This window comes from Homo sapiens, chromosome X, assembly GCF_000001405.40.
Source record: "Homo sapiens chromosome X, GRCh38.p14 Primary Assembly".
NCBI lineage: Eukaryota > Metazoa > Chordata > Mammalia > Primates > Hominidae > Homo > Homo sapiens.
This window is the reverse complement of record NC_000023.11, coordinates 80,723,216-80,738,706: the sequence shown is the minus strand read 5'-3', so window position 1 is coordinate 80,738,706 and position 15,491 is coordinate 80,723,216. Positions and strand designations below refer to the sequence as shown.

Genomic DNA, 15,491 nt, shown 5'->3' with positions numbered 1-15,491 from the left:
ACATGTCACCCTCTCAGGGAGACCTTCTCTGACTACCTTATTGCTCTGATTAAAATTGTAAACCACTGCCCCCCCCACCCCCTCCACTGTGTGCACAGCAACTCTGTATCTTCCCTTCTGTTTCATTTTTTTGTCTGTAGTAATAGTCATCTTTTGGTATTCTTTACATGTTCTTTATTATTTGTGTATTGGCTGTGTTTATTAACATCAGTGATATATTATTCTCCCACGTTTTGTATTTTTTTTAACAAAATATAGTTAAAGTGGTATGATGCTAATAGTGGTTACCACTGAATGGCAGAATTACGTGTTACTTTTTTTCTGTTTTTCCACATTTCCTAAGTTTTGTACAATAGGTATGTATTAAACAGTCCATAACATGTTTTCTCATTTAAAACAATTCTATTAAACAATCCGTAACCTGATTTTATTAAACAATCCATAACACGATTTTTTATTAAACAATCCATAACATGATTTCTCATTAAAACAATTCTATTAAGGCACATTAATGGGCCAGGTCCCCCTTTGTGATAGATGAAGCAATTTAAATGCAATGGAGATAAAGGTTTCAATATTTCTTCACTTTATAAAATTATACTATTTCATATTTAATTGTCTAATTCCTGTAGATCTGAGATCAGCAAATATACAGGCCAGATAGTAAATATTTAGGCTTAGCATGTCATACAATCTCTGTCACAACTGCTCAGCTCTGTTCCCATAGTGCAAAAGCAGCCATAGACAGTGTAAGGCGACTGTGTTCCAATAACACTATATTTACAGAAGCAGGCAATAAGCTGAATTTGGTGTGTTGGCCATAATTTGTGGATTACTGCTGTAGATTTTAGAGTAAGCTTTTGATGTTGTTGTTGAGACAGTCTTGCTGTGTAGCCCAGGCTGGAGTGCGGTGGTACGGTCTCAGCTAACTGCAACCTCTGCCTTCTGGCTTCAAGCAATTCTCATGCCTCAGCATCCTGAGTAGCTGGGATTACAGGCATGTGCCACCATGCCCAGCTAATTTTTTTATTTTTAATAGAGACGGGGTTTTGCCATATCGGCCAGTCTCGTTTCGAACTCCCGACCTCAGGTGATCTGCCTGCCTCGGCCTCCCAAAGTGCTGAGATTACAGGTGTGAGCCACTGCGCCCAGCCAGATTAAGCTTTTTAATGCAAATTTCTCAATCTCAGAAATGAAAATACAGTTTACCCTTTGTATCCGTAGATTCTGCATCTGTGGCTTCAACCAGCTGAGGAACAAAAGTCATTTGAAAAAAATTAACATTCGTACTGAACATGTACAGATTTTTTTCTTGTCATTATCCCTTAAGTAATATAGTATAACAACAAATTACTACAGCATTTACATTGTATTAGGTATTATCAGTAATCTAGAGATGATTTAATTTAAAGTATACAGGAGGATGTACATATGTTATCTGCAAATACCATACCATTTTATATCAGGGACTTGAGCATCTACTGATTTTAGTATCCATGGGAGGTCCTGGAAGCAATGTCTCAATGATACCAACGGAGGACTATATAGGCATGAGTCCTGGTTTCTTTACTGCACATCAGTTGTTAATGAATAATATTAATGAGTAATTTTTGTTTGAATTCATCTCTGTTGTCTTTAGAAGTTCTGTGCTTCCAAAGAAGCTAAGTAAATTACTTCAAATTTCTATAATGATAATTTTCTTTTGATTTGCATTCAAAATGTATTCAAACCCTATATATCTTAATCCTTAGTCATCATCTCAATGGAAATGTTTAATTATCTTCATTTGGGATTTTAAAAACTCACTGACATGCCAGAAACTCTTGTCCAATTTTCAGCTTTTTCCTGTGTCCCAGACATCAGGAGCTCAGTTGTTCTTTTCCCTTTTCTGTGATTCTTTTCTGAGGATATGTAAAATACTGAGAGTAAGAGCCTGAGAAGCCCACATGATAAAGGCCTTGATCCTTCTGACATAGTAGTAGTCCTCTGTATTGACAACTTTTTTTTTTTAACTTGATCTCCGTTTTCCCACAATGATATGATACGAATAACGATTTGAACTATTTTACATTATTTATGGAAACAAATGGCTTACATCTAAAAAAGACAAAATTATATACTTCAATTGAATGGAACTGGATTTTAAAGTGAAATAAATAATAAAACCAAATACTTGGATATTAACTTCCCAAGTGTTTTTAGATTTACTTCTAATCCTCTGCCCATCTGAACTATAAAAATTCCACAGTTGTTTCTATAAGTGTATATATAGCACATTTGTAAAGGTTTAAGTAGTAATGTGCTTGTGAGTTTATTCTCCACCGAAAGTGATTAAAAATCTTAAAGTGTAATGTTAAATAATTTAAAAGTAATTTTTTTATAACTAAAACATTTTACCCTAAGTTCAGTTACTTTTCCTATAGTTTTTTTGATATTTTAAATTTTTTATAAGGTATTTATTAATCTAGGAAAGTTAAATAGTCCCTTGAAACAAAAATTTTTAGCTGAATTTATTGAAATTATATTTGTTAAATGATTACAATTTGAAAATACTCCGTGTTTGATGTTAGGCTGAACATGAAAACTTTTTATTTGAATCAGATTTTTTTTTTTTTAAGTTTTGTCCATCAACTAAAGGCACAAACAGATACCTCACTTCTACTGGTGCTGATGGAACAATCTGTTTCTGGCAATGGCATGTAAAAACAATGAAGTTTAGGTAAGTTTAGAAATTTTGTGAAAAATTAAGCATGTTAATTTTTTATCTATTGCCTTGATTCTTAATAGTCCATGTATTTAAATATATATATTTACATATGTGTATGTGTATTTGTGTATACATATCCATACCTACTTCAATAGGTTGTTAAGAGATTTTAGGATAATTTTTTTTTTTTTTTTTTGAGACAGAGTCTCGCTCTGTTGCCCAGGCTGGAGTGCAGTGGTGTGATCTTGGCTCACTGCAAGCTCCGCCTTCCGGGTTCATGCCATTCTCCTGCCTCAGCCTCCCAAGCAGCTGGGACTACAGGCACCCGCCACTATGCCTGGCTAATTTTTTGTATTTTTAGTAGAGACAGGGTTTCACCGTGTTAGCCAGGATGGTCTCGATCTCCTGACCTTGTCCTTCCCAAGTGCTGGGATTACAGGCGTGAGCCACTGTGCCCAGCCAAAATTTTTTTGATATTAATGTTGAAGAGACAATTTATATAGAAAATCTTGGTAGGATTTTATTTGTTTCATTTCTTACTTTGGTAAGAAGATTTCTCATAATGGTAGTAGTAAGTAATATGGTTAATAAAACTATAGTAATAATACTGATATCATAAAGTATATTTGCAAGGTTAAATGCATTTTTAACCTAATTGATGAGAATAGTACTTATTGACCACGTTCCTTTTGTTTTTTCTATAATATTGATGCTAAATTGATCAGTATCCAGTAGTGCGCTAACATTCTGGCCCATTAGCCAAACATGATGAAACACAAAAACACCTTATTTTTATCTTTAGAGATCGCCCGGTGAAATTTACTGAGAGATCCAGACCTGGAGTCCAGATATCTTGTTCATCTTTCAGTTCTGGTATGTGTAAAACTGGAATGTTTTGAGCATCTAGAATATTTAACGATCCAGTTGTGAAAGTGATTTATGAAGAAAAAAGATACACATTTGAGTGTTAATTGAAGGATATCAAAAATCTGAACCATGTGTTATGATAGATAAACTCTTTTGGACTCTAAGTAATGTGTAAGGTTGATTTTTTTTTCCTTATTCATAATTTAATACATTTTTATATAATGGTGATTTTGCTTGGTAAAAAACAGACCCCCTACTCTAAATACCCACTAACAAAAAAGTTTACTGCCCCGCAATCAACACAAAAATTCTGCCCAGAGTTGACAAAAAAACATGTACTGTTGCTCCATATTGAAAACACTTTTACAGTGCTTTCTCTACTGCTAAGAATCCTACATTAGTTAACCTTTTTTTTTTTCCTTTTTTTGATTGTGGTGAAATATACAGAACCTAAAATTTTATCATTTTAGCCATTCTTAAGTGTACAGTATATTCACATTGGTCTGCATCTGTCACACCATCCATCTCTAAAACTTTTTCATCATCCCAAAAGCAGTTGACTTTTTACACTCAACCACTATAACCACAGTAAAGAGAATTGTAGATAAGTTGTCTTATAAATAATTTTGGAACATTGCATTTCTAAATAAAGAAATGCATTCCTCAGGATGTGTTCTTTAATGTTTATGATCATAGGCGGCCTGTATTCAGTGTATAGTTTGTAGATTTTGTTGGATGAATGATACAGTTTTACATTTTCTCTAAATCGCTAGTATGTCTCCAATAATTAGAAGACAACCTTGTGTTTCTTTAAGCCTTTTTACTAATGCAAGGTAGCATACAACTAAGGAAGTAATGAGAGGGTTTTTAAGGTTCCTTGGTACTATGTTTTGTTTTGTTTTTTAATCTTCTAGGTGGTATGTTCATTACAACTGGTAGTACTGACCATGTGATTAGAATATATTATTTGGGTTCTGAGGTTCCTGAGAAAATTGCTGAATTAGAGTCACATACGGTAAGAGAAAATCAGAAACGGTTGCTTTATTTTTGAACATCCTTGGAAAGCTTATTTCATTTCTTTTCTGATCTGTACCATAGTAACATATACAAATCACAAATTTTGGCTTACACTTTACTCTTGTCATTACTACTATACATACTATACTTGTAAAAGTATGGGTTAATTATTCTAAAAGAAGATTACCTATAGATTGTCAGATGATTCCATTGGAAAATAATTAAATAAATGATGTGGGAAACAGGAAATGATTGATTTATTTTCAAACATTAATAAAATTATGTGTAAAATTTAATGCAACTACTATTAAATTAACTATTTTAAGGTATTCTCTTATATTAGTGTGCTGTCTTATTATGGAGGACATAATAAACTAATATCTATTCAGAACTATTTGTCTCTTGAAATATGGTTTGTGAGGTTTCCCTATGTCTGGTTTGTTTCCTGTTACTGCCAATAGGTATTCCTCAATAGTTAGTACATTGTTTTGGGCTTCATTGAAATTAAAAAAAAAAAAAACTACTTCATGATGTTTTTGCCTATGAATTTGAGAGAAAGAGCACTTAATTCATTTTACAAATAAGTCCATTTTAACGAAAAATCTGTTTCATGTCTTAGGATAAAGTTGTTGCTGTTCAGTTCTGTAACAATGGAGACAGGTAATTATGTAATACATATTTGTGTAAACAAATGTTTGATATATTTTACTACCATTCCCTCAGATGCAGCTACTTCTATGATAGATACCTTATTTCTGTCCAGTTATTTAGGTTCAAAGCCCTTGTTTGTCTTTGATGACATCCTTAGCCATCACTTCCACAATCTCATCCAAGTAGTAACCATAGCCTATCAGGTCGTCCTTTCTGAGTGCTTTCTTCTTTGTTTATTTTGCTCTATTTCTGTTAGCACCCACGTCAGTCAAGTGTTCCATTATTTGACCTGTCCATCTCTGCCAGTGTAACATTGTTCTTTTTTTTTTTTTTTTGAGACGGTGTCTTGCTCTGTTGCCGAGGCTGGAGTGCGGTGGTGCGATCTTGGCTCACTGCAACCTCCATCTCCTGGGTTCAAGCGATTCTCCTGCCTCAGCCTCCCGAATAGCTGGGATTACAGGTGCATGCCACCACACCTGGCTAAGTTTTTGTATTTTTAGTAGAGACGGTGTTTCACCAGGATGGTCTTGATCTCCTGACCTTGTCATCTGCCCGCCTTGGCCTCCCAAAGTGCTGGGATTACAGGCGTGAGCCACCATGCCCGGCCAACATTGTTCTTTATAGAAATCTTTAGTGTTTCCTCTTCTCTGTCTATGGAATATAATTCAAATGTCTTAGCCTGGCATTCACAGCTTTTTACCACATGACTTAGAGCTACATTCTTTGCTACTATTCTCTATATGAATCCTTAGATCCAGCCTAATTGATGTACCCTGCTTCTGTTCACATCTCATCCATTCCTTTGCTTATACTTTTCCTCACATCATTTCTACCAAGAAATGCCACTTCCTACCTTCCCCTAACCTCTTTCTCTCTCTCTCCTACTTTCTTTCTCCTTTATTCTCTTCTCCCTGTCCTTTCTTTTTTTCCCCCTCTTCTTAACTAGGTCTTATCTTCCTTTTACGGTTCATGCCCTACCTGAAACCTTTCCTGAATGTTCCAGCTTTTAGTTGTCTTGACTTTCTCTGAATATCTGCATCACTCATTACTCCTGTATCCCTAAAGTCAGAAATTATATGCAGATATCCTTGCACTCTCTAAAATGTCTAATCCCAAAAAGATGGTGGCCAAAAAGGCTCTAGCCTAAAAGTTTACCTAGCATAATAGATTTAAAATTTTAAGCACCTAGCATAAATTTGTTTCAAATACAGGTTATTTCCTATCCAAAATGCTTGGTATACCGGAAGTGGATATTTTTACAGATTTTGGAATATTTGCATATGTATACTGAGATATGCTGGGAGATGGAACCCAAGTCTAAACACAGTTCATTTATGTTTCATATATACCTTATACACGTAGCCTGAAAGTAATTTTATACAATATTTTAAATAATTTTGTGCATGAAACAAAGTTTTGACTATTGGTGACCCATCACAAGAGGCCAGGTGTGGAATTTTTGACTTGTGTCATGTTGACACTCAAAACACTTTCAGATTTTAGAATTTTGGATTCAGCTAGCTCAACTTGTATGTCTATAAGGACTTTTTTTTTTTTTTTTTTTTTTTTTGAGACAGAGTCTCGCTCTGTCACCCAGGCTGGAGTGCAGTGGTGTGATCTCGGCTCACTGCAAGCTCCGCCTCCCGGGTTCACGCCATTCTCCTGCCTCAGCCTCCCAAGTAGCTGGGACTACAGGCCTCCGCCACCACGCCTGGCTAATTTTTTTGTATTTTTAGTAGAGACGGGGTTTCACCGTGTTAGCCAGGATGGTCTCAATCTCCTGACCTTGTGATCTGCCCGCCTCGGCCTCCCAAAGTGCTAGGATTACAGGCGTGAGCCACTGCGCCCGGCCTATAAGGACTTTATAGGATGATCATGTTTTATTTTTAAATAATTTTTTGACAGCAAATAATTACAGTGATAGAGTTGTTCATTTTTGTCCAATTTGAGAGTAAATAATGATAGTCTACAAACAGTGATGTCTGTATTAGGAATGAAAAAACCACCAAATAAATTTTAAGGTTGACTTGACTGCATTATACTGAGTTAGATGCTTGAACATTAGTATAGCTACTGTTCTTTCATGATGGAAGAACCTAAATTTTTAACTCCCTGTCTTTTTCCATTAAGGAGAAAATACATTATTGTGGTCTTAATTATTCGTGTGGCCAATAAACACATGAGGAGATGTCCAACTTTACTAATAATCAAAGAAATATTAATTAAAATAACAGTCACTTTTTTTTCTTTCAGAATGACAAGATAATGAAAAATGATAATCCCAATATTGCCAAGGGTTTTGGGAAAATGGACACTTCTACAACTTGTGATGAGATTATAAATTATTAAAAAAACTTTTCAGGGAAACAATTTGGCAGTATGTATCAAAAGCTTTAAAAATACACCTACTCTGACTCAGCAAAGATATGTATGAGGTTGTACAAAGATTATATAGAGATGTTCATCACAGCATTATTTATAATGGTGAAGATTGGAAACAACAGTTGATCATTAAGGGATTAATTGAAAAAATTTTGGTACATTCATATAGTTGAACACTTATTAAAAGTGATAGTAGTTTTGTACTTGTAAACATAGAAATAGATCTACGAAATACAGTTAAGCTAGGGAAAAACATATGTAGTTCAATTCAATTTTTTGTAGTAGAAAATATTGAAGTGTGTATGTCTGTATTTTATAAATTCTGAAAATAGAAACTGAAGTGTTAACAGTGACAGAAGTATGGGTGAATATGTATTCTTTTTAAATGACATCTTTATTGAGATATAATTTACATGACATAAAATTCATTGGTTTTTAGTATATTCATAGGGTTGTGCAACCATCACCACAGTCAATTTTAGAACATTTTCATTGGCCCTGAAAGAAAGCTCATACCCTTTAACTGTCAACCTCCAATTCTCCTATCCCTTCACTCCCAGCTCTTGGTAACCATTAATCTACTTTTTGTCTTTATAGGTTTGCCTATTCAAGATTCATCTGTGTTAACTGTGTCTTTCTTTCTTTCTTTCTTTCTTTCTTTCTTTCTTTCTTTCTTTCTTTCTTTCTTTCTTTTGCTAAATAATATTTCATTGTATGAATATGCTACATTTTGTTTATCCATTTATCCCGTTGATGGACATTTGGGTTGTTTCCACTTTTTGACTTATTATGAATAATGCTGCCATGAATATTCATGTACACATTTTTATGTGGACTTATGTTTTCATTACTCTTGGATATATACCCAGGAGTAGAATTTCTGGGTCATATGATAACTCTATGTTTAACATTTTGAAGAACTGCCAAGCTGTTTTCCAAAGTGACTGTACCATTTTACATTCCCCTCAGTAGTATGTGAGGGCTAATGTGTTACTTATATTATCAAAAAAAAGTGATTTACATTTTTGAGAAAATTAATAAAGTTATTTTAACTCTTTCTAGTTTAAGATTTGTTAGTGGAAGTCGAGATGGAACGGCAAGAATTTGGCAGTATCAGCAACAAGAATGGAAGAGTATAGTGCTAGACATGGCTACTAAAATGACTGGGTAAGAATATATGTTAGATGTTTATGTGGTTCTCATGATATATTTTACATTGAGTTTAATAGTGAATATAAAATATCTTTTTACATTAATAAATAGTTTGAAGTTAATTGTAGACATGAAGTTTGCATCTGTACAGCCTCTAAGCAAATCTTCGTTACTGTTGATTGACAGAGTGGATGACAGGAACATTGCTGATTCATTTGATATTCTGGTCTTTTGTGACTCAAAGATCTCTGTGTTCTACTGATGCCTACAGAGCCATTCTCTGCCTTAGTTTTTTATAGGTCATTAAAAAATATATCTATTTTACTTTCTACCTTGAGAGTTGTCCCTATTAAATGTCATCATATGTTTAACTTTTTCTCTAATTTTCTAAGGACACTTTTATAATATTTTTCCTACTCAGTAATAAATATCCACTTAATCAGCATTTAGTTTTGTCATCTTCACTGTTGATTGGAAGATACATAATTACCTCTTTGGGACACTACAGCTTCTTTAGGGTATGGTCCTGAAATCAACTATCTTTCCATTAGTTGCAATATAGAAATGACTTTTTCATCATAGTCGCCCATTGATAATGTCATATTTAATTACATAAAAATGGTACTAAATCTGCTTTTTTATAAGACCTATGGGTTTTTAAAAACATTCATATTTAAGATAATAAATTGGCCATTATGTTTTCATATTTTCTGACAACCAATATAAGTATGAATTTTATTTTTCAAGGTATTTATAGATTTCTTAGTAGTTTTTGGTTCTCAAGGAACTATTTACCAAATTTTTGTCATTTTAGGGTCTTTTTTTCTCCCTGAAATAAGCTAATGGGTATTGCCCTATGCAGATATATTTATTTTTTTCTTTCATGAATACTTAACGGTATAGTTTAGGATTTTTAAATCTAAACAGTTGTATACTCCTGGAGAAATTTTGTCATAATTTGCTATTTAACATGCACCTTTGTCAAAAATTTATAAGATATGAATACTGCAAATTGTTTTGTTTAGCAATAATTTGCCATCTGGAGAAGACAAGATCACTAAACTTAAGGTGACTATGGTGGCCTGGGATCGCTATGATACCACAGTTATTACTGCAGTGAACAATTTTCTTTTGAAAGTGTGGAATTCTATCACAGGACAGCTTCTTCATACATTATCTGTAAGTATTTTATTTTTAGAGTAATTAAAATGGTCAAAAAGCACATTATTTTAAGACACAGGAAATTTAAGTTCCAGGTTCCTTTCTATGATATACTATACTAGTCCTTGGAAAAATGATTTTCTGAGAGGGCTCTGTTGACATATCTGTAAAATAGGGATGACACGCGCTATACCTGCTAAAAGCAAGTATGAAATCTTTTCAAGATCTTTTCTAAGTCTGGTAGTTACTCATCTACTATGTTATTGTATACAATGAGGACATATAAGTTATTTTGTTTTTAGCAGGGGTTGGCATTTTTTCATTGTTACCGTTATAGGGGTAGAGCGTACCTTATTTCAACAAGGGTATCCTACATAGTTTTTTCAAGGAATAGGGGTAAGAGGAAGAAGTAGGAAAAGAAAGGTCTTTTTTCCTCTTTCAGAAAGTGTATTTGTCATTGTAAGAGGCTGTAGTATTTGTTATGTAAAAAGTTGAAAGGATTAATAGCAGAAATCACATGGGTAGTGTTGATGTTTTTCAGTTTATCATAATACTGGTTGACTTCAGATTAAGCTTAATTTAAAAACCTTATTTTTTGTCTGTTTCAACTATCAATTCATAAGCATTTTAAGGAGAGAATGCCAAATGGTTGCCATGTGATTACACGATAGTAAGTGATAAGAATAGAAACCAATTCTTCTGACTCAACTCAGTTGTCTTTATACTATATCATGGTGTTTATGTATCAGAGGGATGTAAAGTTCTTCTATTTTGCAAATGCTGTTTGAGTATCAGCTATGTGCCAGAAGTGGCTTAGGTGTTAGATATAAATGGTAAATTAGACAGAGTCCTGTCATGCTAGAGTTTATAGCCTATTATGAGAAATACCTTTAATCAGATAAGTGCTAAGAAAGAAAAATGCAAGATAGAATGCAAACTTCTAACAGGGTAACCAAATTTGATATGGGAGGCTCAGAGAAAACTTCCTGAGGAAGTGTAGTTTGGGTTAAGTTTTGAAAGATAAGTAGGAATTACCCAATCTCAACTTGTCAACTCCTTGATTAGGCCTTCCCTGATCAAACAATCCAAGGTAGCCTCCTAGTCTTTGTCTTATTATGTCACCTTGCTTTACTTTTATTAGGTTTATCACTATCTGATATTTTATTGTTATGTTTTCTTGTTTATTCCCTGCCTCTACATGGTAGGAAATCAATAAATATTTGGTAAATCAAATATGTGAGGAGGCTGGGGCATGTTTCTAGAAAGAGGGAACGGCATGTGCAAAGGTCCTGAGGTAGATAGGAGCTGAAAGAAAGCCAATTTAGCTATATCACAGAGAGCAGAAACAGATTCTCCCCAGATACAATTGGAAAAGTGGACAGGGGCCAGACTAGGATTTTGTAGGCTCTATTGTAACACCAATAGGAAATCATTAAAGGGTTTAAAGCAAAGGAATGACATGAGAGTTTTGCTTTTGAAAAATACCTTTTAATTCTGGTCACAGAAGAGGGAATAGATTGGAATGGGCTAAGAGTGACTGCAGATAGATTATAGGAGTCTGATAGTAGCCAGAATGAGCCAGGATGATAATTTAGATTTGTGTGGTGGTGGTGGAAATAAAAGTGTGCTTACTAAATACAAATATGGCAGATGATAAATTTTAAGACATTACTGATTCTGACTAGATCTTGTTCCCCATGATCTAGTAACTATGTACTCTCCTAAGGCATGTGACCCAAAAAAAATGAAAATCCCCAGCTTCAAAGTTTTTTTTTTTCCCTAATGTACATTGAAGTAGTCATGTCATTATCATTAGAGTTTAACAAACTAACTTTATGTTTTGCTGGTTAGGAACCTCAGAAAATATTGGCTATATCAGATTGATTCTTTTAGCAAGGGATTTTGTTATAACAAAGAAATAACTTTTTCTGTAGTCACGGGGAAGAATTTTGGTAAACTTTGAGTTGTGATGGTACTTATCATAAGGGGATTTTTCCTACTAATCTTAACACTACATTTTGAGCCAGTCTAAAGTTATATTTTCTTTCAGCAAGGTGTATTTTTGTCCATAATCGTAATATGGTAGGATACTCTATTCTATTTTTTTTAATAGCATGATTTGGGATAAAATGCACTTTTGAGATTTGCAGGATATGATCATTTTTTTAGACGCTCCTGATGTATAATGTGATGGTGTGTTCCTAAGATAAGTGCAGCTTCAGGATGTTCTCTATGCTTTTCTAAGGCTTGGAGCCTGTTCTTAATCATATACTCTCTAGTCAGGAGTTAAGTCCAAAGAAAATCAACAGTGATCTTAAAGCAGATGTTTGTAAACTTTTCCTTTATGAGGCATATAAACATATAACATATGTAAACATGTTATGTTATACAGATATAACATGTAAACATGTTATATGTTATACAGACATAACATGTAAACATGTTATATGTTATACAGACATAACATGTAAACGTGTTATATGTTATACAGACATAACATGTAAACGTGTTATATGTTATACAGACATATAACATGTAAACGTGTTATATGTTATACAGACATATAACATGTAAACGTGTTATATGTTATACAGACATATAACATGTAAACGTGTTATATGTTATACAGACATATGTAAACGTGTTATATGTTATACAGACACATAACATGTAAACATGTTGTTATACAGACAACATGTAAACATGTTGTGTTATATAGACATAACATGTAAACATGTTATATGTTATATAGACATATAACATGTAAACATGTTATGTTATATAGACATATAACATGTAAACATGTTATGTGTTATATAGACATGTAACATGTAAACAAGTTATGTCATATAGGCATGTAACATATGTAAACATGTTATATAGGCATGTAACACATGTAAACATGTTATGTTATATAGGCATGTAACACATGTAAACATGTTATGTTATATAGGCATGTAACACATGTAAACATGTTATACGTTATATAGGCATGTAACACATGTAAACATGTTATATGTTATATAGGCATGTAACACATGTAAACATGTTATATGTTATATAGGCATGTAACACATGTAAACATGTTATATGTTATATAGGCATGTAACACATGTAAACATGTTATATGTTATATAGACATATAACATAAAGCATTGGTTTTCAAACTTAATTTCTTTTTAGCAGGAAATGTATTTTCCAGATAACATCTTAAATGGAACTCCCAAATGTAAAGTAGATATAGAGCAGAGCCACTGTGCTTTATCCTTTGAATGTATCATGGGACCTACTAAAATACAATTTGAATACCAGTAATAGAGAATAGAGTGCTGGATTGTATTTATCACTGTGTCAGAATTGGGTGTTATTGAAAGATTCTGTTTGTCATATTCTGTGGCCTTTTAAATAGCCCAGTCCTAAATTCCACTTCAGAGGCCTGGTTAATGAGCTGTAACTGTTTAGACTATCTTTATTTTAAAAACATTTCTGGGTCTTCTGTTTATTGAATACTTGATAAAATCAGCAGTTTATAAGGAACTCTCACTGACCTATATTGTTCATGTAGTATCCATGTCATAAATGCTGTTAAATTATTCTGCATAAATTCATTTGAACCTAACTGATAGCACACTGAAGACCTTTTTACCAAATGAACCAAACATTTCGTGTTGCTTTCATTGTTAATACTGATTTTTATTATAGGGACATGATGATGAAGTATTCGTTCTAGAAGCCCATCCATTTGATCAAAGGATCATACTTTCAGCAGGTCATGATGGGAACATTTTTATTTGGGACCTTGACCGGGGGACCAAAATTCGGAATTACTTTAACATGGTAAGAGACACCTACCTGTATCTAGTTCACATTAAAACCAACTTCTCTCATATAATAACTTGGTTAATTAAAGTATACCTAGTGCAGAGGAACCTCTTGTCATATGTGTTTAAATTGGTTAAATATTTCAGAGAATAACTCAAGAATTGAGAATAAGGCCAGTTGAGCCTTTCAAGATGACTATTCTTAGGTGTTAGCATTTTCCAAATTCTGTTCCCCAGTCCCAAACTACAGATACTCAAATGTATTAAGCTTTGGAGTTAACACCTAACCAAAATCACAAAAAGATTGATGTTTAAAATGTAATTCTGATTTATGAATTGTAACAGTGACTGTAATACTTGTATCTGCCTCTGGTAAACCTCATATGATTTAGTAATCAGAAAGTTGTTTGGCAAACATGGACTTGGAGATACGGATGTTCTTTAAGATATGTCTCATACAAGCCATGGAAAAATCTGGTGAGCTATCTCTTCTCTCAGAACACCCTTCTATGGTGATGGGACTACTCATATCCACCATTCTATGATGATGGAAATACTAATATCCTCTTAAGAATAATTCTCATTAAACGTTTCTAAATTGTTGGTTGCTCTTTGAGTTTACTTTTATATGCTTTATATAGACCCAAAGCAAAGACAGATCCTCTGTCTTTTATTGGTAAAATTGATTGTGTGCTTTAATTTTAGGATGGTTATTTTAAGACTTCATTGCATTACAACTTAAGATGTGAAGATAGTATCTTGACTTTGCTTAGGTAGTACCTTTGTCATTTTGATTGCATTTAGTTCTTTTTTAATCTTCACAGTCACTCATTTAGTATTTCATGAGGTATGTCCTTGCTAGCAATGATTGATTTCATCCATTGCAATTTGCCTCTCCCTAATTTCTTTCAGGGATTTACTGTATCAGTAGGGTTCTGGCTGCAGAAGCCAGAGAGAGTACTTTGGAATGTTTGTGTATCACAGAGTCCATGGTATTAACAAGGAGAAGTTACCGCCTATCTATTATTTGAAAATTACTCTTAAGATGACTTGAGACTCCTCTGAATTTCAGATTGAAGGCCAAGGCCATGGTGCGGTGTTTGATTGTAAATTTTCACCAGATGGAAACCATTTTGCCTGCACAGATTCTCATGGACATTTGCTGCTTTTTGGTTTTGGATGCAGTAAATACTACGAAAAGGTTAGCATATTTAAATTTTGCTGTAGAGTATAATTTAGGATTGTGTCATTCACAAATTTTGTTTAAAGCCCTCCAGTTAATAAGGGCTGTTATGTGTCAATAGATACAAAATAAAAGAAAGTTGTCTTTCTTAGTAAAGGTTCTCAATTGTGATCTGCACTGCCAGAACCTTAGGTTTGGCTGTGCAGATCACAATAGAGATAAGTTATAGGGTGATGAAGATATAAACATTCCTTAGGAAATCCTTTTGCGTATATTATACCTGCCTTCCAGGTATAATAGGAGAGTAATTCTAACACATCACATCTTCTACTTCTCATGAATTGGGAATAAACCGCTGGTGACTGAATATTTTTATTTTCTTAGGTGGCTGTTTTACTATTTTACTTATTATTGATCCTGTTGAAATACTTTGGGAGCTAACTTAATTGGTCTTTATGTTTTATTAGCTGTGAATTTGAGAAAGATTATAGAATCTTAGAGTTGAAAGAGAACTCAAGCATTGAGGTCAGCTCAATAATTGCATTAATAT

General features: G+C 33.5%; 1 protein-coding gene across 5 annotated transcripts in view; it reads left to right on the top strand.

Moving 5' to 3' along the window:
* The window catches only part of BRWD3 (bromodomain and WD repeat domain containing 3), a 140,375-nt gene that overhangs the window by 71,171 nt on the left and 53,713 nt on the right, over window positions 1-15,491 (top strand). For 4 of the 5 annotated variants that reach the window (NM_001441339.1, NM_153252.5, XM_047441957.1 and 1 more), the window contains exons 9-16: window positions 2,619-2,719; window positions 3,510-3,580; window positions 4,489-4,589; window positions 5,211-5,251; window positions 8,687-8,791; window positions 9,802-9,955; window positions 13,640-13,774; window positions 14,831-14,959. In NM_001441339.1, coding sequence (NP_001428268.1) covers window positions 2,619-2,719; window positions 3,510-3,580; window positions 4,489-4,589; window positions 5,211-5,251; window positions 8,687-8,791; window positions 9,802-9,955; window positions 13,640-13,774; window positions 14,831-14,959 — 837 coding nt within the window. Of the gene's footprint in view, window positions 1-2,618; window positions 2,720-3,509; window positions 3,581-4,488; window positions 4,590-5,210; window positions 5,252-7,518; window positions 7,620-8,686; window positions 8,792-9,801; window positions 9,956-13,639; window positions 13,775-14,830; window positions 14,960-15,491 lie in introns of those variants that run through there. The other variant, XM_017029384.2, reaches the window with a different exon arrangement.